A 26,904-nucleotide genomic window follows, 5' to 3' on the forward strand; every position below is an offset into this window, starting at 1 on the left:
ATTATAAACAAATGATAAAAAATTGAGGCACACACACTTATTTTACAATTTATCTATTCATCATTAACTCTATCAAATAACTGTTATTTGATAAAATAAATAACAGTTATTTGATAAAAATTATTTTAATTACTCCCCCAAATATTTCAAGGTCACCCTGAGCAACAGGCCGTATTTATTTCTTGGCACATAGCTTCCAAGAGGCTTTCATAAGCTGATTCCTACTCTGTTAGATATCAAATGTCTTCCACTCCTTCTCCAGCTATTTCTCAATTCTCACGTTCTGTGCAGTTTTCAACACCTATTTCACATACTAGCATTTCAGATAAGTGCTTCCTATCATCCAGCCTCAAGCAATTTCTTGCTTCTCTGATGTTCCCTGGCACCTTTTCTTACATTTTTGTTGACAGGCATTGCTTGCTACCATGTATTAAACATATTTACATCCTTCCTTCCCTATTAGGCCATAACCTCCTTTTATACAACATTTCATTTTCTAAATGATTGCATCTTAATTTTGCTTTGTTTCCTGAATCAATACTTTGCATCCATATTGTATAGTTAAGATTTTGCTGAACAGGAAAAGCAATCAGACTTCCTCCGCACTCTGCTAAGAATGATGTGTGATGTGGTCATCCATCTCCACCACAAAAGTGGCAGTGATAGCTGTGTCTGTTCTTTCTGGTTTACAGAAGAATACAGCCCTGGTCAGCTAACGGTGACATTGGAAGGATGGTAACAGCTGGTTGTACCCGTAGTCCTAAAAATTCTTGATAGGATCTCCTTCTCCACAGGTCAGAGGGCTGGAAGTTAATTATATTTTACAATCACATACCCCTAAAGCAACCACAACTTTTCAAGCAAGGAGCAGTATTTTTTCTTGCTTATAGACTGCTCTGCACAGAGTTTCAAACACAGGGACCAGAAGCACTATCTATGCCTCATTACCATTTAAATAGGCTGATCAATGAGAATTAGCATGTAATTTGAATTACAACACCCACCTCCTGCTTCTTAGAAGTGTTGGTCCTCCAACCTTTTTTGAGTAGTTGCTACATTTTCCAGAGAGGATTCACTCTTCAAATCTAAAAGCAGGTGTATGTCTGTGTTTTGGTGCAACAATTTAGATGGAGCCATTGATCCCTGATTCTGCCCAAACTTCATCTACATCCAATATAATCTATTGTCCTATTAAAATACAAAATTTGTAATAGCCACCTCAGCCAACTCCTTACAACAAATATTTTGATTCAATGTCATCCTTAGTTTTAAGTCTATACTTTCACTGCATCAATTTAACCAGTAGACCTACAGCTATATTATCATGTCTCCACATAGGCAAATATACTGACAGGACCTAATTAACACTTATGGTAGAACTATTTTATAATTTCACATACTTTGTCAGCTTTATTTATGTAGACGACCACCTCGAATATTTTTGAACTGCAAATTTTCCTATGTATATGGTGAAGATAGCAAAGAAGTACTTTCTAGGATGCAGTTGTAATTGCCAGTCACCAGTATGTACTCTGGAACTGTAAGCAATTTCCAGCTGAGAGCTCGGAGAGTATTATTTAATGTTCAGATGATATAAAATTCTCTCCTTTCAACTAGTAATTCTTTTGATCCTCAAGTAACTTTCCAACTCTAGGAATACATAATTTTGATGCAGTTGAAAAGGGAATGATAGTGTTAGGCCGGCATATCCAATTCTGTAGGGTCTGGGGTTCATAAAATATTTTTATATCTGTGTTCCAATATTGTATTTTTTGTTCCATCATATTATTTTCATTTAAAAGTGCTATTTATTCTTGTTGAATGTTCTCTCTTCCTCAAATATTCAATGTCTCCTTGGGACATAGTAGACTTTATTTTTTTTTATGTTACTATATCTTCATATGATAGTGTACTATCATAGTGCCTGGATCACAGTTAGCATTCACTACATATGAGTTGAGTGAATGGACAATGGTATTTCCAAGTACTAACCTGAATAGGTTTTCATTCCCTATTAAACTCCATCAATTCCCTAGGCTACTCCAAATAAACATATTATACATAAAAAATTCAAAATTGGTTTGGATATGCAAACTCAGGGAAATTTCTATAGCCTATTTTTCCATCCAGATTGCTACTCGTAGACTTCTGCTATGTAGCAACAAATAAATAAATAAATAAATAAATAAATAAATAAATAAATAAATACGTGAAAACTGTATAGCCAGCAGACAAATTAAAGAGGATTCCAATGATGTCATAAAATGGTATAGTGCTCTCTAGAGCCACTTTTAAGATGATTAGGATTTGGAATTCATAGATCTCTTATTTGGAAATGTGTAGGTTGAGGACCCAGTCCTCAAATAGTTATTTATTGGAATTATTTTAACTTTAAATATTAAATAATTATATGCTATATTTCCTGTGCATCTATAGTTATTTAAAAATGTAAATAATTAGATAGAAATGATATAAATCCATTTTAGTTATCAAAATTTTTTTATGTTTTTGTTTTCATACAGAAATGGTACACTATTTAGTTTCTGTAATAATCTTGTGTTTGCAAGAATTTGGGATGATAGTATTTATAGAATTATTCAAGGTGGCAAGAAAGCAGTAACATCAAAAACAACAAGAAAGTAGGAAGATTTATTTGGATTTTTTTGTTGAAACATACTTTTTAATGGTGATATAGCCAATGTATTTAATTAGAGTATGAGCTATTTTCTTATTTTATTGACCCATTATTTTGTGTAAACATTCACACACAAATTGAATTATATTTCCTATATGTGCCTAAAGGTCCCAGTCATGTTTCCATGTTCAGGCTACAATCACTCTAAAGAAATTCTTTCTTCAGTAACCTTAGAAATCTAATTTAACCATTATATGCTCAATGTATTTTTCTCTAATCTCATCAGCTAAACAAATTTTCTTACTCCTCCGAATCCCCCCTTTTAAAATGTGTATACTCTCCTTGGAACTGAAATAATTGTCTACCACATGTAAAACTATTATAGGCATCATTATGTTCCCTTTTGAACCATGTTCTCCCAGAGGGCAAGATACATCAGTTAATCCCCTTTATATTTTGGAGCCTCTAGTTGACAAGTATTTTTGAAAGAGTTAATGAGAATTTACATTTACATCCCAAAATATCTATCTTGGTTTCCCAACATTCACACTTATCATTCAAAACTTGTGAAATGGAGAGACAGAAGAAAAAAGAGAGAGGAAGAGAATGGAGGGGGGGGGGGGGGGAGAAAGAGACACAGAGACACAGAGAATCTTATAATATACCTCTGACTTTGCCCAATTTAAATGTTTCATATTGTACTGTGCTGGAAATAAAGTTCATGCCAGCAGGTTCAAAGTTTTAAATTATTAGAAACAATTGTTATCCTAAGGAACTACTATATATACGGTCAGAATGGTAAAATGATTTTTGTTAGAAATCACATTTAAATTAAAGTCATTTATTATGGATGTAGTCTGTACTCTGAAGTGCTGAATATAGTACTTAGTCAGCTGGAGTTCTAACCCAATTTATTTCTTTACTAGCAGTCAGTCTGGAAGTAGCAGAATATCTGGGGACTCATTGTCTGAACCAAAAATAAAATTTGTTGCTTTTTTTAAAAACCCAATGCTAAAATACAGTCACTATTTTTTATAGTTCTTATTATTCCTACATATTTATATAGCTCATATAAAATTTTACATTAAATTATTAACTAATAATATGAAATAAATTATTAATTTTAAAGATTGTGAAAAATTACTACTAATGGTGAAAAGAGGAAAATCCATGGAGGACAAATTGATATAGCCAGAATTATTTTTTTCCTCTTCTAAAATCGATACCATTTTTATATATCTGTAGCTAAACATAAAAAAAATTTCAACTTAATTGTGTTAAAAGTATGATAATCCTTCCTGTAATTTGAGAAAATTTAATCTAAATAAAGATCAGCTGTTCTACTGCTAGGGTATGATATTAGCTATTCTAGAGCTATTTCCTCAATTTATCAGTAAGAATTTATGTAAATTTATGTAAACTGTATTGTAGTTTAGAGATAGGTTGTGATTTATTTATTTAGGGCTCTTATAAAGTTTAAAATTGTTGGAGAGGGCAGAAGAATATGAAGAAAATGAGTTAAAAACAAAACAAAACAAATAAAGTAATAAAAATAATTGTATTATTTATAAATTTTACAATATCAAAATGAAAATATTCCTCCATTAACCTATGGATTATTTTTCTCCATAAGTATGTTAAAGTCTTTAACTATTACTGAATCAGCAATTTAACAGATTTAATCACACAAGAGGATGTAGTCAGCCTTCTATGATTGATAATACAATGACTTACCTTAATTTTTTCATCAATATTTTAGGAAAATGACAGCAAACAAGTAACAGCATAATAACAAAGAAGACAACCATACGCATATACTCACATGCATTTTTTTCTCTCTACACACAAAAATCTGACAAAAATCTGCTCAAAACTCATAGATGACATCACTTCTGAGAGGTAACTTTCTAAAGCAGATAAAAAATGTCTTAGTATGATAGATGCCTCTCAAATATGCATAAAAGAGATAGAATTTTTCTCTTTTGCTCATTAGTTCATTAATATTCAGTGTATCTCCATTTTTCAGAAGATAGGGGGATCCATGAGGACATGTGTACTCTTATTTGTTTCCTTTTAGTATCGCCTAGCTCAAGTTGTCATATATGCAAAGCACTCAGTAATTAAGTTTAAATAAATAGCTTTCTTTGTAAACAAATCTGTTATTAAGATAAACTTAACTATTTTATTTATTTTTACTCTATGTTTGCTACAGATATAAGGAAATTAAGATAAAAATGTAACTTATTATTGTCCTAACAAATGATGACTTCTGCTAAAGTTTTTGTATTAATATATGCACATTTTTCCATAACATTTAGAAAAATGGGACTGTACACTTTTGTAATTGCCATTTCTCACTTGTTTGTATCTGCAGTTTCTCACTTCTCATTTCAAAATATAAACATGCATTATCACTTTAAATTCTACAGTGTGTTTAATCTACATTTTATCATTTTTAATACTGTGATTAATAATATTTTGCTTATATAGGACTATACTTAATTATTTCCTCATGATGAATTCACTAAAGTGAATTTAGGGTCCAACATGTAAGAAACTTGGAAGTCATCAAACATGTCCTAGATGCAAAAAAAAAAGGAGAGCAAACTGAAAATAAGCAACTCTACTTCGATTCATCAGAGAATTGAGGTCACAGAGCAAACTGTTGTCCATCCCCACCAAAACTGGGGGGACAGAAAGGTAGATATAGAGAATCACATTTTATTAGAGCAAAAGTCCAGAAAGAGAAACCACAGTCAGAGCCAGACCAGGATAGGAGAAAAAGAAAGAAAAAAGAAAAAGAAAAGAACTGTAATTAATGAATTGCTGGAAGTTCCGTATATGCTGTAAACCAAAAATAAATTTTCAAGTGCTCCTCTCAGCCAAGGCATTCCAAAGTTAACCTGAAAAACTAGTTCAGGCCATGATGGGAAGGGATAGCTGGACATGCCTCATTATACTCTCCTCCCTTTTGGAATTACTGATAGAACAGGCTCTTTAAGTCTGATAAGAAACATTTACAGTCTATTCTCTGTGAAGCCTGCTAAGTGGAGGCTTCATCTGCATGATAAAACCTTGCTTGGTCTCTACAATCCCTTATTGTAATCCAGACATTTCTTTCTATTGGTAATAACTCTTCCAAGCAATTGCTAATCATAAAATATTTAAATCTACCTGTGACATGAAAGCCCCTGCTTCCAGTCAGCCTGCCTTTCTGGACCAAACCAGAAATATGTACCATACATGCAAGGTACATCTTACATGTATTGATTGATGTTGCATATCTCCCTAAAATGTATAAAACCAAGCTGTACCCCAACCACCTTGGGCACATGTTGTTAGGACATCCTGAGACTGTGTCACTTGGCAAAATGAACTCTCTAAATTGATTGAGACCTGTCTCAGATACTTTTGGTTTACAATATAAAATGAGTCTTAAAATTTTGGTGGGGCCCCATCTTAAGAAGGTCACCACATTTGTGTCTGTTTTGCCTCCAAGAGCTCTACCAGGTTGACTCAGTGAAGAGCAGATAAAAAGCCCCAATACCATGTCTCTGGCACTGGGAGGGAAAAAGCAGCCATTTTGAAATAAACTAAGAGCTTCTCTTTTCCTTAACAAAGCCTGCAATCAAGGGAAAGGATTTTACTAAACACAAATTGAGTGGGGTTTTCCCAAGGCCTAAGCAACGTGGGGAAAGGAAAATACTCAACCCCAGTCCACTCTAGGCATCCATGTGAAGGAAGATACCCATCTCCATCCCTCTCTAGTCTTCCTGTCCCACTTACGGAGAAGACAAAACAAAATACAACCAAATAGCTGGGCACTAATGAATAAACAGTCTTACCGAAAGACTGAGATCTAATTGCAGAACTGTAGTATACTTTCCCTCACCTCACACCTTACAACTATATCAATAGGCTTCTATATAATAATAGAAGATTACAACTAAAAAAATTGCAAGTATCAGGCTACTTAAGAAATTTCTTTGGAAACTCAAAGAAAAAAAGGGAAACAAAAACAAGGACATCAGAGGAAATTTTAGCCTCTGATACCTGTAGGTATAGCGAATGGTAAACACAGACTAACACCTAGCCAGCAAAACATAAAACCTCACACTAAAGACCTTTATACCTCAGTTCCTTTTACCTAGTACATCATATCCTGCTTTCAGTAAAAACAACAAAAAAATCAAAAAGCATACTAAGACACAAAAAACACAGTTTTAAGAGAAAGGACAAACGTCAGAGCCAGATTCAAAAATGGCAGAGATTTTAGAGTAGTTAGCCTAGCTATTTAAAATAATTATGATTAATATCCTAAGGGCTCTAATGAAAAAAAAAAGAACCACATGCCAGAGCAGATGGGTAATGTAAGCAAAGAAATGGAAACCCTAAGAGACAAAAGGAAATGCTAGAAATAAAAAATACTGTAGGAGAAATTAACAATGCATTTAATGAGCTCATCTGTAGATTGGACATGGCCAAGGAAATATCAATTAGCTTGAAGACATGTCAACAGATACTTTCAAAACTGAAATGCAAATAGAAAACATTTAGAAAGATGAAACAAAATATTCAAAGACTGTGGGAACAATTACAAAAAGAGTAACATATGCATGTAGGAATATTAGGAAAAGAGAGACAAAATAAATATTTGAAGTAATAATGACATAGGATTTTTATTAAAATTAATGACATCAAACCACAGATCCAGGAGGTCCAGAGAAACAGGACAAATATCAAAATATCTATAATGCAGAAAATCAAAGACAAAAGGAAAGTCTTGAAGGAAATCAGAGATAAAAACACCTTATCTATACAGGATGAAAAAACACCATATCTATATAGGATGAAGGATAAGAATTACAGTGAATTTCTCATTAGAATCCAAAACAAAAAGAGTGTGTACCCTATCGATGTCTCAGTTTTCACTTCATGTATCCCTTTTTTTTTTTTTTTTTCTCAGACGGAGTCTCACTCTGTCATCCAGGCTGGAGTGCTGTGGTGCAAACTCTGTTCAATTCAACCTCTGCCTCCCGGGTTTAAGAGATTCTTTTGTCTCAACCCCCTGAGTAGCAGGGATTACAGGCATGTACCACCACGCCTGGCTAATTTTTGTATTTTTAGTAGAGATGGGGTTTCATCATTTTGGCCAGGCTGGTCTCGAAATCCTGGCCTCAAGCGATCCACACACTTAGGCTTCTCAAAGTGCCAGGATTACAGGTGTCACCCTTCGTGCCTGGCCCATTTATCCCATTTTTAAATAGCTGTTCAAAGATTTCTATCTAGGATGAGTTGCTTGACTCTCCCTTAGTTTTTGCTTTTTGTCATTCTCTTGTGAATCATCTTAATTTTCTTAGCTATTATTGCTTCAAGGCCCTTTCAGCTGACAGAGAAAGAAAAAAAAAAGATATATATATACATACGTGTATATATACTCTGTGTGTGTATACACAAACACACACACACTATATATATATATATGCACACACACATATGCATACTCACACACACATACTACATATATAGATATATATATATAAAGTGTGAAACCTGGCCCCACTATCCACCATCCATTTACTTAATTGTTCTCATCTATATACCAATATAGAAGTACAAGAATTATTATCGTCCTCCCCTAAGGGAAACAATTTTATCAACTGAAGTATAGTTCTTAAGTACAATTTCTTTTATCTTTATTTTTACAGACTCAATTTCCAAAGTTATATAGGTAAGCACCATTTCCCCAACTCTCTTCAGTAAGGTAATTTTATGCATTTATCGTATATTTATATTTTGTCAAGTTTTGCATTTCAATCTGGGATCCTCTGACTTACTAAGTGGTTATATTTTCCTAATTTGGGTGCATTAAGATTAACTCTATATACTATATAGTTCTATGGGTTTTGACAATAAGAATAGTGTCATATACTCCCTAATACAATATCACACAGAATAATTTCACCACCTTAAAATATCCTTGCTTCATTTACTTAACAATCTTTCCCTCCCTCAATTCCTCGGCAACTAGTGATCATCTAACCATCTCTTTAGTTTTTTATTTTTCAGAATATCATGTAATTGGTATGATACAATATGTAGCCTTTTAAATGGCTCTTTCACTTAGTAATATGCCTTTAAGATTCCTTCATGTCTTTTTATGGCTTACTAGCTCATTCTCTTCAAATATTGTTGAATAATATTCTGCTATATGAATATATCACAGTTTGTTTATCCATTTACCCATTGAAAGGCATCTTGGTTGTTTCTAGCTTTAAGTGACTATGTAAAACAGCTACAAATATCTGTTTTTGGTTTTGTATAAGTCATATAAATCCTTTTGCCACCAAACAGAATATTGACAATTGATTTGTATTCCTAATTATTAAAAGTGTTTTAGTTAGGGTATGTAAAATTAGTATCTGAATATTGCATAATTATAGTAAATCCTTCAAGATGATTATTTTATAGAAAGCAATATAAAGTTAATTGATGAAAAACAATTACTACTTTGGAAACTTTTGAATATAAATTTTACAAACTATGTCTGCTTTGGAATTTTTTACATGCCACCTTAACAATACCTGTTCTTCAAAATATTCTTTCTGAAAGCCAGACTTATATATTATTGAATTTATCATGGTGGATGCAAGGAAAATGATTGGGTCAGGCTTGTCTTAGGGTTGCCAGCATCAAACATATGAAGTTATTATAACCAAGGTCTACAAAAAGTCATAAAGAAGCAGACTTGAGAAAAATGAAGGGAGCCTGTGAAAGTTACTGTACTATTTGTTCACTATGAAGAGGTTGGGGAATGATCACTGACCTCTAAGTAACAGAGAATGGAACTCATCTTTCACTTCTGAATGAGCTCCTCACTGTAATTGATGGCATTTCCTGAAATGGCTGCGATCATTAGGGCTCCAGTGACTGAATTAAAAGAAAATGAAAGATGCAGATGGCTGTAATAAAGCAGGAAAATGCATTTCTTCCTGGTGACAGATACAACTGATCATTTTACAAGGAAGTGCTTTACTAAAAGTGTTTCAGCTATGTAGTTCTCAGGGAAAATGAAGAGTAATGTAAAAATTGGACAAGATGAAACTGGCTGTTTCATTCCAGATATTGACTGCACAAGTCACTTTTAATAAATCAGCTGCTTATGGTACCTAAGACAGCAGTTTGTTAATATTATGAGGCACTACAAAATGTTCTCTTTGGTTAGGCAATCTTTGAGCGTCACATGATAAACTTAAAAGTTTTATTTAATTTTTTATTTGCTATATGTTTTTCGAATTATCAACACTTGAAGTAGTAGACATATTTGTTTGGAAACAGCTTTGATCATCTAAAAGATTCAAGGGTCAGCAATCTTTTCCTGGAAATGTCCAGATAATACTTATTTTAGACCTTTGTGGGCAATATAGTCTCTGAAACAACTGCTCAACTCTGTAGTTGTAGCGGGAAAGCATATGCAGGCAATGATAAAGGAATGGGTATGACTGTGTTTCAATAAAACTTTACAAAAACAACGTACAACTGGATTTGGCCTTCATACTGTAATTTGTGAATCTGTAATCTAAAAAATCTATTCAGCATACCAAATGATGTTGTGAATAACAACAATTAGAAATCTTAAAAGCTTTCTACACTGAAATAAATAAAATGCTAAAGCTAAATATTTTAGTCTTCTACTAGAAATAGGGATATGAGCATTTATAGCATTTAAATAAATACGGAATACTGTTTTAAAAGAACCACAGCTTAATGACAACCTGTATTTTTCAGCCATGAGAAAAAAAAACACTGTTATATTAAATGGAGTTTTAATAAGTATAGTTTTTTTTGGTTTGTTTGTTTTTTAGCTTGAAGAGATTCTGTGTGTCATACTCTGAAAAGATTACTCTCAGAGTCAGAATTGTTCATTCTATTATTTCCTAGACATTGACTTACCACCTTCACACTTCCCCTTTCAATACCTAAATTAAGAGAAGCGCTCCTTTCTTTTGTCAAGTTCAAAGATGTTCGTGAACTGTCTCATTTTTGGGATTCAATTTCTTAGAAGTCCTTTAGTTCTTCCCCAGGGCTGAGGAGATAACAGCTGTCTTTTGCTTTGATTATGTAGTTCCTTATCTATCAGGAATCTCTTTAGTTTAATTCAAAAAAAGCTGAGTTCTCCCCGGTAGCCACCTTGCCCATCACTACCTCAACGGTAAGTGAGAAAAGATGGTAAGGTGTTTTCAGTCTAGAAATCTTTGTTGGGTCAAAAGTTTAAAACCTTTTCCCAAGAAGCTTGCTGGAAACCTAAAAATGCTATTTTGAAGTATTTATGAAATGCTAGTTTGTCAAAAAAGTAATCATAAATACTGCTTTAGAAAAAGTATAGAATAAAAACCTGTTTTTCATCTGGTTTTAATGTTACAAGCTTCCATCAAACATTGATGTTTACTTTCCAAGAAAGGTATTTAACAACACACATGGGTTCAAGGTGTACAGAACATAATTTAATCTTTTGAAACATTATTGCATATGAACTCAAAAATACCCTTTTGGTACAATAGCTATCAATTTTTGAATAAATCATTTTGTAAAAATATTTTAGAGCAAAAAAATGATTTTAGATTATGGGCTAGCTAGACTATCAAGGACTCTTTTAGCACATATTCTCTCTAACAGTCCAAAATGCACAATGTGTAAATTCCAGTCATCTAACTTCTGGCTTTGCAGAACACAGAATACTACTGTTAAAATTCCAAGAACTGGTATTCAAACATTACATCAACAAAATACCATTTTTCTCATTACAAATCTTAATGTGTTAGTTACAGAAAACATACAAAGTAAGAACATCATAAATTTTAGAGACTATTATTACTGATACATAGTATAATACATTTAATTGTAAGAGATAATAGAACCAAGTCCCTTTGGAACCAAAAAAAAAATCATTGGGGATGTAATCTATCTACATTATAATGATTTCTTTTGTCTAAATCTAGTTACATGAAATTAAATGAGGTAATGACTGTGGAAATAAGTGGGAGAATTTAAAAGTTCAAATGGTAGTTAACAGAAACAAGAAAAATCTGGCTATAATTGTGTATATATATGTATGTATGTATGTATATATGTATGTACACATACATGTATATGTATATACAGAGAAAGAGAGAGTCCTTAAGAGTAAAAAAAATAAGGATTTAGCTATTAATGGGGCCAAAAGTGACCTCTGTAAAAGAACTCTAGAGCAGCATTCAGTAAAACTACAGAAATAAGGAGTATATATATACATAATATATATATTATATATATAATGGCCCACAAACTAAGTTTGGGCTACTGTCTGTTTTTATATAGCTAATGTACTACAATTTTTTTTTTTACCTATTTAAATTGTTTTAAAAGAGGCAAAAATATATTTTGTGGCATATGACGATTATGTAAAATTTAAATTTTAGTGTTCAGAAATGAAATTTGAATTTCATCAATTAAAAATTGTATGGAAACTTCTTTTTTTTCATTTAAGCATCTACTTATACCCTTGATTTTACCTCTTGGCTTTCCTGAAATATTTACTATCTGCCCTTTATGAAAAAAAAAAGTTTTCCGATTCCCACTAAAGCATATCTTCTAAGATCAAGGTGTTTCCACAACTCCAGTTCTTTACCGTAAGTTTGTGTCACTCTCTTGCTTCTTAGAAAATTGAGGGTATTTATTCTTTCATATCTATCTTTTCTGGGGAAACTTAAAATTATGTTAAAAGTCACAGACAAACTTGTTTTTCAAAATTCTGTGATTGGAAAATCATAATACATATTGAACATTTTTCTTTAAAATAAATTTCAAGTTTGAGGTATCTATTAATATAATGAGAAACAGAAGCCAAAATATGGAAAGATTGTGTTAGAAAAATTGAATAAATTTCTTTACTTATATATAATAGAGGTCTTAATCCCTGGGTAATCCCAAGTGTTGCAATTTCCTGGGAGTTGTCCAGACATATAAAACTAAAGTAAAAATTGGATTGAACACCTATGGTAAGAAAATTTGAAGATGTACTAAAAATTTCCCACCCCTGGTGTTCATGCCCTGTATAATCCCTTTTCTTTTAAACTGGACAAGACCAGTGAATATAATGAGATTTCACTCTGATGATTAGATTATGTTATATGGCACAGTCGGTTTTAAGAAAAGAAGATTATCTGGGTGAGCTGACTTAATCACATGAGCCTTTTAAATCTGGGTCTACACATCAGAGAGAAAATCAGTGATTCAAAGCAACAAGAGGAAGGCTTTAGGAGTTCAGAACCGCCTGGAGTCAATATACAAGAAAATAGTGACATTAGTTCTATAACCTCAAGGAACTGAATTCTGCCATGACCTGAATGAGCTTTAAGACAATGAAGTCTCAGATGAGATATCAGCTCTGGCTGACACCTTGATTTCAAACTTGTGAAACCATAATCAGAGCAACCATGCTATGCCAGATTACTGACACAGAAATTGTGAAATATTAACACATTTGTGTTGTTTTAAGCTTCTAAATTTGTAGTGAGTTGCAACGCAGCAATGGACAACTGACACACACCCAATTCGTTTCCAAAGGCAAACAGAAACCTTGCTCTTCTTTATAGAGAAGCTTGGGGAACTTGTGCTTAATCATCTCTAGTTCTGTTGTCATTTTTCAACCGAATGTCAATTTCCTTGTATGTTTATTGTCTCCTACCTTTGAAGTCCCTTTTTTACTCTTAGATACTACATTTATGGCACCTTTGTTTTTTTGGAATTATTTGCAGTAATTAGGGTAGCACAAAAAAGCAGGCAACATGAAAAGAGGACTAGATATCTCTCTAAAAAGTATCCTTTGACCCTGTGATCCTGAGGGAATTTGATTTGTTTTTTATTTGGATTCCTGTTCTCCCATGTTTCTAGACTGCCTCCCTTGTCAATTTGCCCCTTATTTTCAAATTCCTGATGAAGAACACTTCATCTAGTCTCAGTTTTTTCAAGTTTTCTCCCAGAGGCCTCCTTTTCATAATCAAATATGTGTATATCTCTTAATCTCCAAAGAAGGATGTTCTTCCTTGAAAGAAACCATTTTATTGACTCATAGACTTACCATTTTGGGGGATGAAGGTAGAGGCAATATACTGTAAGACTGCAATGTGTAAATGTCATCTTTAATGTAAGGTAGTTAAATGCATAACAGGTTTGTGATGACGATATAATAAATTAAAAATGACATGACCTTTGCTGAGAATCTTTAAAATTGCTACACCCTCTCTAGTGATTGTTTTATTGCTTGGAAGAGAAAAATATTCAAAACCTAAACATATTAAAACTAAAGTTGGCTTCTTTTCTACTAATTTGGTGTAAACATCAAGAGGCTAGATATATTTTCTAAGATGTTAGTTGTAGTGAATAATGTTCCAAATGTTAGGCTACAACATTTTGGGAGATAACTTCACAGAAGCTTGTGATGTTTTAATTTTATCTCAATTAGAGCTCTTATTTCTATGTTTTTCACCTCTAATTACTCTTATTTTCATCTTTTTATGCTTTATATTCTATAATTCGCAACAATAATAGCATTTGCTTCATCCACTTTCTGGATGTTCCATCCAAATCAACCAATTTAGAATTTTCTCTGTAATAAGTATGGCTCTCATTGCTCTTTTCAAGGTAAACAATGTAGTCCTTCTTCCAATTTTCTTCAAAATTTCTCACAAAATTCCACTAAAAGGTTATTTTCTTAACCAAATATCTCTAGCACTGACCATTCTTTCTGTGTCTAAATATGTTGCTTGTAGGTCAAGTTTTTTTAGAGCAAAAAGAAAATCCAGAGATGATCTGACTCAGTGTATTTACATTATAGGTATAGATACAGCAGGTCTTTGAATAACTTTGTTTCATTGTCGTTTGGTTATACATTGATGAGAAAAGTCAATTATTGGCTGAGGCTACTGTCTGTATGGAGTTTGCATGTTTTCCTCATGTCTGCATGAGTTTACTCTGGGTACCCTGGTTTCCTCAAACATCCCAAAGCTGCATCCATTAGGTTGTGTATAAGCTGTGCACGTGTCTAACTGTGCACAGTTAAAACAGTTTTAACTTGTCCCAGTTAAAACAAGTGTGAAGTTTCTCATTGATTCCCAAAATATTGGGTAAATAATTATCTTACTTGTTTTTATTAATCTTTCTTAAACGTATGTATAGTTTACATTTACTTCAGTGTTTTACATTAAAGTGTTTTGGATTTTTATTTAGAACATTAGTGATGTTTCTGTGACCAGAATTGTACTGTAGGAACTTAACCCTTGTTTATATCACTTAGCCTGTGGTGAAACTGGTTTCCCTGTACTTTATTTTGCTTAAAGTTGCTGTTTCTAAGAACCTATCAATGATTTTTAGTGAGGACTTACAGCAGTAAGATTTTAGCTAAGTTTAACTCACTTGCCATATAATGTATTCTGCATTGTTATTCTGCTATGCGGTTAGTAGCAGAAGCAGTATGAGGCCTCAGTTCTAGTTATTTTTTTATATACTACTACTAATCATTTTTAAAACCTTTTTTGGTTCTGTCTTCCTATGCTTGTTGATTACTACTAGATTGCTTTATAATGTTATGTTGTGCACATTTCCGACGGACAAGTATATATTCGCATAATAACTGCTAAGTTTAGTTTTTGACTAGTTGATGGACTTAATGATATTCTATGTATACTCTCTTAGAAATAATATAGTAAGGTAGATATCACTAACATCTCTATGAAGTTTTTTTTCTCATTCCCCTCAGACTCATTTAATTACTCTCCCTTTTATATTACTGAAGTACCTTGCCTATTTTATATTTATCTTGAATTTAAAATTTTTACTTACTAAAATAAATTAAAATATAATGTTTAGCCAACTCCATTGCCTAATACTGTCACAATGTAAGTGCTTAATTCAAGATAAGCTTTTCTTGTGAGTGGACAAACGAGGCATCTTCCTTAAAGACTGCGTACATTTGATTGAGCTCCTGTATTCTAGTTATGTATGCTCTTAGGGTTCATGCCCTCACTTTCATATCACATGGAAAGCATGCCCATAAATTCCACAGGATTGGAAACCAGTCATTTTTATGGCTACCATTAGTGCTATATTTTTTCTCTTAGTTCTCTATTATAGTCATTTGATCAAATTAATGTTGAGTAGATGATGTGCAACTCATGAGTTTATACACTTTCCTACAAGGAGGTTTCACTAGAGTGGGCAAGCTAACATTCATGAAATCATGATGCACATAGAATATGGTCGTTCTAAAAATTTACTATGTTCTTCACACAATGATTTATTTGCATAGCAAATTATATTCATATACTTTTTCTATGTATTTACTAAAATACGTTTTTAGAAGCATTTTTTTATTTGCTGAATATATGTCATAATAATTCCAAATAACCTTTTTTAAAATGCAGCATAACGCAAAGGACTGAATTAGTAGACCATCCTGTTTTAATTACATAGACATGAAGGTTTGACTCTTTACAAAATTTTAATGTGAACTTTTAGAGGCTACTTCATGCTGTAGTTGAGCTTGTATCTTTTCTGGCTACTAAATTATACATTTTGCTTTGTGTCACCATGTTGATGTAACATCTGCATTTAAAAAGCAAAGTGAGCATAAAATAATGGAATTGTGTCCTTTGTGCTATTTTTAAAAGAAATTGTCCAGATTTTTAACTTGTATCTTTTGGTACACACAGTGCTCTTTTTTCATTACTTCAGCATGAGATTATTTTAAAGTCCATTAAACTTTCATATGGACAATGCCATGCCTACTTTTCTAAGAATAATGGCTTAGCCAAATATTCTTGTTAAATATTTTGTCAGTCCCTCAATGTATCTAAAGTGTCTATCATATGCCATTTAGCAAGATGCACTGTTAGTAGTCAGCACTGACAGATAGGATAAATGATAGGAAGAAGAGTGATGGAGATATTATTTTGAAATCTTCTATTTTTTATTGTTTGTATTTTAACATATACTAGATGAAACTATATCTTAACAGTTTCCACTCCAGTGAAATATTTCAAGACAGTATTTCTTTTGCAATACAACAATTTCCTCATTTTCCCAAGCACCATAAATAAACAGAAGAGTATGAACAGATCTCTGAAGACAGGAGAAAATGAAAAATGATTTGTCAAAAATAGCAACTTAAAGGAGGTAGGAGAAACAGATTTTCAGAGAACTAATAGATATCAAAGGAATAAAAATGGTCTTTGGAGTTCCTCAATGTTTTGTTAAAAATAGAGAGATGAATAAAATCATAATGACTATTTTCTCATGCTCACAGTTGTCAGACTAAATTTATTTTAAATGGTGGTGGGGGCAGCATTGTTGATACATAAGCTATTGATGAGAAATCAGAAATTAGCCTTTAAGTTTACTGATGTTGAGAGAGTTTGTGGTTTTTATTGGAACACCTCTGCAAATTACATTGAAAGATGTTATTTTCCTTATGACCTCAATTAAACATTTAAAATGAGGAGGGCCTCCAGGGACACTGAAACAGAAATATGAAACTTTGCATTTTGGCAAGATGATTACTTATCTGTACTCAATAACAACATTTCAATCTCGTTAAAGTGAATTGTTGCTTCCATGTTTATTTTTGAAAGAATTATTATTCTTTTAAGAGTTTATCTTTAAAAAGTCAATATTCTAATATGCTTTGTGGAGGAGGATGAATCTATTAAACAATTCCTATCTCTCTTTTCAGAAATTTATAGTTTTACTGCACTTAACATAGTCTAGCAAATAATACTCAGTGACAACATTTTTTAACAATGTATGCATGATTTACCTAAAGTGAAAGGTACATATGTTAAGAGTAAATTTCCATGAGTATTCACAACTGCCTACACTAATATAATCCAAACATCTGTCTAAGTATAGAACATTTTCATCAGCAAGATCCCTTAGGTCACTTCCCAGTCAATTCATACTCCTCATCTCCAGGTAATCACAGCTCTGGTTTCATTTACCATCCATAGTCTTCCTTGTTTTAGAACATCATACTAAATGAAAAATATAATATGTCCTCTTTTCTGTCTGGCTTCTTCCAATTAGCATTATGTTTTTGAGATTCATTCATTTTGCATGTATTAGTAGTTTATTCCTTTTTATTGCTGAGGATTATTTCATTGAATTTTTACCCATTTGGTGTAGATGAACACTTAGGTTGCTGTTGGTTTCTAACTATTATGAGTAAAGCTGTTACAAATATTATTGTTCAAGTTTTGCATATGTACATTTTCTTTCCTCTTGGATTAATTCCTAGAATTGGAGTTGTGGATTCTAGGTTAGGTATATGTTTAACTTGTCACAAAAATTCAAACTTATTTCCAAAATAGTTGTACCTTTTTACAGCCACACCAGCAATGTATGAAAGTTCAAGTTGTTTCTTATTCAATCCAGCAGTTTGTATTCTCAGTTTTTAAAATTTTATCTATTTTGGTAAGAATGTAGTTTGGCTTAATATACATTATTTTGTGATTTAATAATACTGACTAGTTTTTTGGGTTTATTGGCCATTTCCAAATCTTCGTTTGTAAAGTACCTATTCAAGTTTTTTTTTTTTTTTAATTGGGTTGTTCGGGTTGTTTGCTTGTGTTTTTTAAACTGGGTTGTTTGCAATTTTATTATTGACACATAAGGAAAGACACACACACACACACACACACAAACACACACACACACACACTTCTGTTCATCTAAAGACACAATGAAAATAGATGCTATATGTATCAAAGGATATAACTCTGCCGTGATGTTGACTGTGGTTCTTGCCTATTGGTTTGTGGACGTAGAAGCGCTAAATGTCTAGGTGTTAATTGCCCCGTATGATTCAATATGACCCTTCCTGTATTACCAAGAGGAAGTATGCCCCCTTTAAAAAACAGAACTTTTATCCCTGCTGATTCCAGAATTGTGGAAAGAGGATGTACTCATTCTCAAAATGGACCACTGGAAGTGATGGTAAGCAGCAATATTCATACTTCCACTCTTTGGTTCTTGAACCTATGTAATCTTCTGATAGAGGGCACCATTTTATATGAAACTTTTTAATTCAATATGTACACTATGTCTTGATGATGCCCAATCCTGGCAAGGTAATACCACTGAGCTGGTGCTTCAGTTCTGCATTTAACTGGCCATTCCAATGCTCTAATAGAACCCTTATTTACTCAACAAATGGGCTCTTTTGGTTTTTGTTGAATAAATAAGGACTGTATTAGAACATTGGTTTTTCCCCACACCAACTCTCAAACATCTTTTACTGTAAAATGTGTCCTCTGGTCTGTTATAAGGTCATAACATATCCCTTTTGGCAGATGTAATACTTTGTGAGCCCTTAGACAGTAGTGCTGATTGAGATCTTACAGGCATAAAATACAAACATACCCCTTAATTATATATCTATTCCTGTGGAAACAAACCATTAGACCTTCCCAGCTGAAAGAAGTCCAATGTAGTCAACTTGTGAAGTATTCAGTTGGTCTCCTTGAGGAGCAGAACAAATTAATGTCATTTGCTTTTTGTTGCTGCTAAGTTTGTTACTGAGAAGTGGCACTAACTGGGTCAGGATTGCTAAAAGGGAGTCCATGCTATAGTGCCCCATGCATAGCCTCCATCTCTGCTACTGTAGCCCCTTCATTTATGTGACTGTTGTTCCACACTGGGGTTGCCAACGACAAAGTCTGGCTAACATCAACTAAGTACACTTATTTGTGTGTGTGTGTTTGCGTCTGTGTGTGTGTGTGTCTGTGTGTGTGTGATGGGTGGGACTCTACCATAGTGGACATGTTTTGGTAGAAATTTACCTGTAATACAAAAATCTTCACACTTCATACCAACTCAAGTATAACCATGCACATCCTCCTACTGTAACCCTCTTTGTCCCAGATTTTCCAAATGCTTCTTTTCCAGTCCTTTCAACAACTGGCCAGGCCATTTGCTTCTGTCAATTTGTCCATATATATTCTAATTTGGGACTATATTTCTTTTCACACAAAGTGAACAACCAAGTACACTGCCAGAAGCTCTGCCCTCTGGGACAATGTTCCCTCTCCACTGTTTTTCTAAGTTGCTTCTGCTCTACAACCACATACCATGAAATAGGATGTTTCTCTTCTTTCAGCTAGTTGTACGAAAGTTTCCAGTGGATGGATGTGTCACAGAGAAAGGGGCACTGGTACAACCTTGGTGTATGACATGAGTATCTGGAATACCTGCTCAGGTAGCTTCCTTTGGTCTTGTTTTGCTTGTACTCAGCCCCAGATTTATCCCTTCCGGCATACAATGCATTATTTTTATATCCCCTGAGCACTAAGTCTTTGAAGTTCTGAAAGTGCTGAGGTCATAATGAGCAGTTCTGGATACACGGGCAACTAGTGTCTAATACTAAGGAATTCCATCTTTATCAGAGCCTAATAGAAATTCAGGAATTGGTTTTCAAATGGCGTATAATTATTCTCTGTAGATGCCATGGCCTTTCTTTGTAAACCTAAAGAAATGTGTTGAGATTTTTCCAGTGGAGCTTTCCCCAAACGCTACACAAGATTATTGTTCACAACTGATATTTCACAACTGATGTTCCAACACCAACTACATGAGTATCAGCTCATGTAGTCCAATTATTTATTTATTTATTTATTTATTTCACATGTTTTAAGAATAAAGTCTTCATAATCTGAATTTTCAGCTGTTTTCTCATAATGTTACCACACATAGGTGAATTGTGTCACGTGTTTAAAAAAAATTGCCTATGGATATCAAATCAGTAGGAATTTTCATCCATGAAAATCTCAGATATACCTGTGATCTAGATTAAGCAATTATCTTTAAATAAATTTTTTTTGTTTTTGTTTTTTTTAGCCAGTCACATGGAGTTACCTCAGCCTGGGTTTAATATCCATACGTTTAGTTTTGAAGCAGGACAATTTTCCTGACTGCTTTGCAGGCAGAAACTGAAATGCAGGCACTGGAGCTAGCCGGTTGCTTCAGCCGGCTTCACTAGCTCGGACCCACCACACTCTACTCCTCGCAGGAGGGCGAACACAGCTGAGTGGGTGCAGGAGCTGGGGCGAGTGATTCTGGGTGGCAACAGGAGCAAAACTTCATGCAGGCCCCGTGGCAGCATCTATGGGAGTACATATGACTCCTCAAAACACCAAAAGGAGTATTATAGGCAGTGCTGTTTTAGCTTTGCCATCCACAGATAGCTTAAGTGTTTAACAGCTCAGTGGCCTTTTAGTGAGGGCAGAGGGTCAGCGTGACAGCCTTCGGTATCTCGAGCTCTTGTCCAGCAACCAGGAAAAATCAAGTTGCACAAACGAAATGAAGGATAGTAAACACAGGGGATTTTATTGCTGATGGAAGTGGCTCTCCGTGGGAAGAGGAGCTGGAAAGAGGATGGAGCGGGAAGGTGTTCTTCCCCTGAAGTCCAGCCATCTCTGGCCAGGCTCTTCTCCAAAGTCCCACCATCAAGCTATCTCTCTGAAGTCAAGCTTCTTCTCTCCAATGTTCAGCTGCTGCTTCTCTTCTCTTCTTCTCTGCTCTCTGCCAGTGGAGCCTGGGGTTTCTATGGGTACAGGATGGAGGATGGAGTGGGCCAAGGTAATTTTGGAAAAGGCAACATTCGAGTGGGAAAAGAGGGATGTAAAGTTTTCACTTTGGGCTACAGTTCCAGGCTTGAGGGCGGGGGCCCTCACCGGGCACCCTGCCCTTTTCTGCCTAGAATTTCTCTGCCTACTGTCCCTATTAGTTCATGTGGGTCCCAGTACATCTTCATGTATAATACTTGGTTTTCTCATTTTTTTTAAGTAACATTTTCTTGCCAGTTGGACTTGGGATTGCTAACTCACTTTAGTTTGTCTCCTTTTTGTAGATTATTTTTGTCCATACTTTCTGATTTATGCAAAAAAAAAGAAAATTAGAGTATTTCACTAAGGATAGCACTGACTACATCCAATTACTCCCAACATAGGTGCTTAAATCCCCAAATATCTATGTTCAATATATTTAATACAGCATTTCTGTGTGTGAGAATCAAGAATGACGTCTTATATGGGTTTCGTCTGACATCTTGAGCAGAAGTTACAATATAAATGTAATATATCTCTTCTTCTTTGTCAAAGCAACTTATATTTGTGAGTCAACCAAATATAATGTTTTGATTATGCACACAACATAATTATATATTATTAACGTATTAAAGATACTCATTGATAACATTGCTCAATTTGAAAATATTTTAATCTTTTATCATACCAGAAATTATCCCAGATATTTATATTCATTAAATTGTTTAAGTGCCTAGAAAATTCTATGAATTCTGTTGGGATTCTCAAAGTCTATGAAAGAGATGACATTTAAAATTATATTATTGACTATAATAATTATGAATGATATAATATGTATCAATTTTACTTCAAAATAATACAGTAGTAGAAGTTGGGGGAGTATAGATTTTAAATGATTCACCACAAGTTGGCTAATTTTGAGCTTGGGTGATGGCTTTATAAGGGTTCATTATACTACTCTCCACTTTTTAAAGTGTTAAATATTTTCACTACAAAAATGTTTGGAAAATAAATATTATATCTTCAGATTTCCTTAAAAGTGTTATAAGCAATCATGTAATTATGATATTCACATAATTCCTTCATGACAGCTAAGAAGATACACACTTTGTTTTCAACATTTAAACTCACCATTTATTACTAAAGTCTTATAGCACATTTGTGCTATCTGAAGCACAATATTTAAAAATTGTTTCTAAATACAAATGCATTGAAGAGCTAACAAACCCTAAGCAGAAGTCTCATGATGGAACAAGGCATTGCTATCAATTTCATTTATTGTTAATAACATACTCACAAATGGAGCGATGGTTTTAACTGAAGCTTAATTTGAGGAAAACACAGCAAATTTCTAAAGCCTTTTTTTCTTTTTTAGTGAGTTTCTTAATGTTAAATTTGAAAATAAAAATGCACACATAATATTTTATTGTTGAAAATTAATTTTCATCAGAAATATATTCCCCTCTAAGAAAACAACCTGGAAAGATAATTAGAGAGAAAGAAAAAGGTATGTAAGGAAACATGGGAACACTATCTCAAATGAATGTAGCTAGGACTAAATTCAGATTACACTAATACTGAAAACATAATGTCATTTGATACTTTTGAATGCCTTTTGGCATGCAGTGCAAGGACCACAGCTGGCCTTTTAGCTTGTTGATTGATAAATTTAATGAAGCCATTCTCCTATATTGTTATTTGTCCTTTTTAAAAACAAAAGGAGTTTTCATAAATAGTTTGATTAACTTTTAAATGTTTTTCCTCTTCTTCAAGCAATTATTTTCCAGGCAGTATCAACCAAGCACAAAGAGAGCATTTTTAAATCATAGCTACTATTTTTCTGTAGCTTCACTTTGACCTAGAAAGAAAGCCTGATATTTTATTCTCATTCTTCTAAGATTCACTAACTTAACTTGAGGGTAAGCCAAACCACAATTAAAAAATTTCTGCCTTCTTTAAAACAGGCTGTTGCATCCAGGGATGTTTAATGTGCCTAAGGTTGAAGGCACTTTGAATCCATTGTGGAGGCAGCTTGAGTTATTGAAGAAGGTTGTCTATCTTAGCTATTGTTCAGGTCTGTTCAGATCTGTTCCTCCAAACACTTAGTACGCTCTGAAGGACAGAAAACCTGGCCTCTTTCCTTTGATAGAATACATTTCTATATATAATGTATGTCTATATGCTGAAAGAGAGAGTAACCCTTTATATGTCTAATTAATCTCTACACGTTCTTCACAAAATGTCCTCCTTCTATGTAGAAGAGGAGGACGCAGTCAATTTTCTTTTATTTAATAATAACCTTTATCTATTTGCATTTTAGAAGGTAATACGATAAGGCTTTGGATATTAAAATATCTCTTATCTCTAACTGGAGATAAGGTATGGCGTACTACATTTCTGGAGTCTGAACCAATTAGCCTAAAGGCAGTACATGCTCCCTCCATGCACCTTTCTTTTCTTTTTTTTTTTTTTTGATAAGGAGCAGTCTTCCCTCTTTGATTTATAGTTCTCATAAGGAAAGTAATATATTTCATGATTAGTTTTAGTCCCAAGTCATTTGCATATTGAATAAGAGATTCAGAAAAGACTAGGAGAAAATAACTATGTATTTATTTACATTTAATAATCAATATGATTTATGCATTCAACACATCTCATAGCTTTTATTTTAAATTAATCTCATGAAAATACATTGACAACATAGCTATTATTTTAGATCACCTTTTTTATGTTCTAAATTTAAAGGAAATTTAGAACCTTGTTTCTGTCTATGCCTCATTTCAAGATCCTACTGTCTAGAAAAGTTAACTAGATGAACACAGGTTTTAGTTTTACTTAAATGCAACCTCATCTTGTCTTGTTAGGGACCATTTCAAGTGCCTCTAATATTTGTGATGCCTAAGTGAAACTACTGAGATACATTCATGAGCCATCCAGAAATGTAAGGATTTTAACATCCTTCAGGCTACCCTTGGCTGATGAGAGCTGGGAGACAGGACAATGAATAAAATGCCTTCCCCTAAAGGAAGGAATACCTGATTTTATTATCGTATCAAAGCCAGTGACCTACCGAGATACTGGTAGAATTCTAGACTCAGTACCCTCGCACAATTTTGTACCCTGGACAATATTCCCAAATAAAGCTTCATCTCAGTCTCTGCCAAAACAGGCTTTTACTCTGGAGCTAGACTGCCTGAGTTCAAATCCTGGCTCTATCTCATAATATATGTTACCTTAAAGAGTTATTAACATCTCTGCGCCACTATTTTCTTATATGTAAAATAGAGGTTATTAGACCTACCAATAGTAGTGTTATAAGGATTAAAATATATAACATATGTAAATTACTTAGGATATTTTTTAGCCTACAGTGAGCACTATATAAGCATGTGATTTTATTTTACCTGTTACATGTTATCTAATAAAAAAATAACTTTATATTTTAGAAATATCCATGGTCACACAAATTGCTTATGGCAAAGGAACTTTTATAATTTTTTTTCACTCAGAATAAATGCTATTCCATATACTTTTGAGGCTCACTTTCATAAAACAACTTTTTCTTAAAATTTACTTTTAGGCTAAAACAATTTATTCACAATCTAAAGCATTTTGTACAAAATACCTTTTTCTTTTTGCAATACCTCAGAAACTGTAAGTAAAAGCTCTTAATTTGGACTAATTACACAAGTTAGTTGTCAACACTGACTAAATTTATTACATAACCCAAGTTTAAGAGTTTATTCTATAGCCTTTGAATTATAACTTGTCAAGATTGATTGTGTGTGTATGTATGTGTATGTGTGTGTAAATATATATTATATATATGAAGAATATATACATATTATTATAGTGTATGAAGAAAATGGCAGGAAATGTTAGAAGTTTAGGTGATAGGATACAGGCTGATGACATATTTATTCACTCGCTATGTAGACTTCAAAATCATTTCATTTCCTATAACAAGAAAGTATATCCTTTCTGTTGAATTGGTGCTCATCCTTATAATTTACTATGTCCTATAAAATCGAGCAGGATTGATGTTGTGTAAGATCAGAAGCTAGACCCAAGACACCCAAGACACCCAAGACTTTTCTACTCTCTCTGGAAACCGTGAGATTATCAAGTGAAACATATTGGTATGAATGAAAAAACACATGTAAAAGAACCATCTCAGGCAAGGTCACCCAGACCAGTTAGTTCTGCCTGCCCCCATATGTATACACATGCTGACCTCGGACACATAAGGCTACCCAAGATTAACCTAGTGCAGCCAATCTCAAAAGAAAGTTCTAAATAATGATACAGACAGGAAGCTGGGAAACACTAGGCAGAAAAATGAATCTTTATGAATCCAATATTCAGTTTCAACACAGTGAATATATTTTGCTCTAAGTCTATATCTACTCTTCATCCCATACCCAACCCTAGGTATTTCTTTAGTCCAATGTAGATAACATATTATTGCATTTACAGATCCTTCAGTATGTATCTGTAAGAAACTTTAAAAATAGTTATTTCCATATTTTTATTATTCCTAAGGTAGATAGCTATGATTCTTTAATGTTATAAGAAGTGCAGTGTTCACAAGTCCTCCAATATCTCACAGTATTTTTAAATTAGAGTCAGTTTGTTTGAATCAGGAGAGTATACACATTGCAGTAAATTGGTATAGTTTTATTTTATTTTTTTACAATTTATTCAATAAAGAAACTCATGGCATTGACTCTATATAATTTGGCATATTTAAGATTTTGCTAATTGATTTTGCTCATTGTGTATTGTAACCTTTTGTGACACTTAAGATGGTCTGCAGACCTCTTTATTTCCTGTGAAAAACTACAGTGTTAATCTAATAATTTATGTCCTACTTTTTAATAAGAACACTTCATAGGAGGAGTTGTAAGCTTTCAGCTGTGTCACATCAATGGATGATCATGTCTGGTTTTTATTCTCATTGTTATTACTGTGACTGATATAGTTTGTCATTTTACTTTTTTAGTATCAATATAAACTTATAGTGAAACCAATACCATTATTATTACTGAAATTATGATTACTGAAAACATTCGAAGATGTCCTTGCCTGACACTTTTTTATTTCCCATACCATTTTAAAAATTTTTCATATTTATATGTATTTAAGTATGGCAAAATATATACAACATAAAATTTACCACTTTAACCATTTTTAAGTGTACAGAAAAATATAAAACATTTCACAATTTGCATGTCCTTATTGGTCAGGCATCATGCTAATCTCTGTATCATTCTAATTTTTGTATATGTGCTGCTAAAGCAACACCTTGCATTTCTTTTTGTCCTTAGGATGTATCTAAATTGTCTGTATTACAAAATTACTGTATTATAAAATCCTATTTAATGATTCTTGATGGACTTTAAACATTTTTGTTACAAATATGTTTCACTATTTTGTCATTTGTCATTGTTGATCATAATATTTATTTGTCATAGATATTTTTGACAAGTTACCTAACTAAAATTAACTCTTTTATTGCTTCTATATTGTGAGTCACAGGTAAGACTATTTTACCTACTTTTAGATTTATAGATGAATCCATACATGTTTCTTCTAATATTTGTATATGCAGTAAGAAAATAATTCTGTTTTCTTCAT

At 33.1% G+C, this 26,904-nt stretch overlaps 1 long non-coding RNA gene and 1 pseudogene across 21 annotated transcripts in view, besides 1 other annotated feature; both read right to left on the minus strand.

The window, feature by feature from the left end:
- Nucleotides 1-19,985, minus strand: part of LOC105379109 (uncharacterized) — a 144,274-nt gene extending 124,289 nt beyond the window's left edge. For 12 of the 21 annotated variants that reach the window (NR_188311.1, NR_188307.1, NR_188305.1 and 9 more), the window contains exons 1-2: nt 19,795-19,985; nt 9,462-9,565 (exon numbers count right to left, since the gene is read on the minus strand). This is a non-coding gene — a long non-coding RNA (uncharacterized LOC105379109). Of the gene's footprint in view, nt 1-1,004; nt 1,189-9,461; nt 9,566-19,794 lie in introns of all 21 variants that reach the window. The other 9 variants (NR_188306.1, NR_188304.1, NR_188317.1 and 6 more) reach the window with 3 other exon arrangements.
- Nucleotides 454-1,268: an enhancer, noted in NCBI's record as "OCT4-NANOG hESC enhancer chr5:104089973-104090787 (GRCh37/hg19 assembly coordinates)". NCBI's record gives its function as "activates a minimal SCP1, AML or CMV promoter by ChIP-STARR-seq in naive H9 embryonic stem cells {active_cell/tissue: H9 hESC(naive)}" and the evidence as "EXISTENCE:reporter gene assay evidence [ECO:0000049][PMID:30033119]".
- Nucleotides 26,470-26,571, minus strand: RNU6-334P (RNA, U6 small nuclear 334, pseudogene; annotated as a pseudogene).

The sequence above is a fragment of the Homo sapiens genome, chromosome 5 (assembly GCF_000001405.40).
Source record: "Homo sapiens chromosome 5, GRCh38.p14 Primary Assembly".
In the NCBI taxonomy this organism is placed as follows: domain Eukaryota; kingdom Metazoa; phylum Chordata; class Mammalia; order Primates; family Hominidae; genus Homo; species Homo sapiens.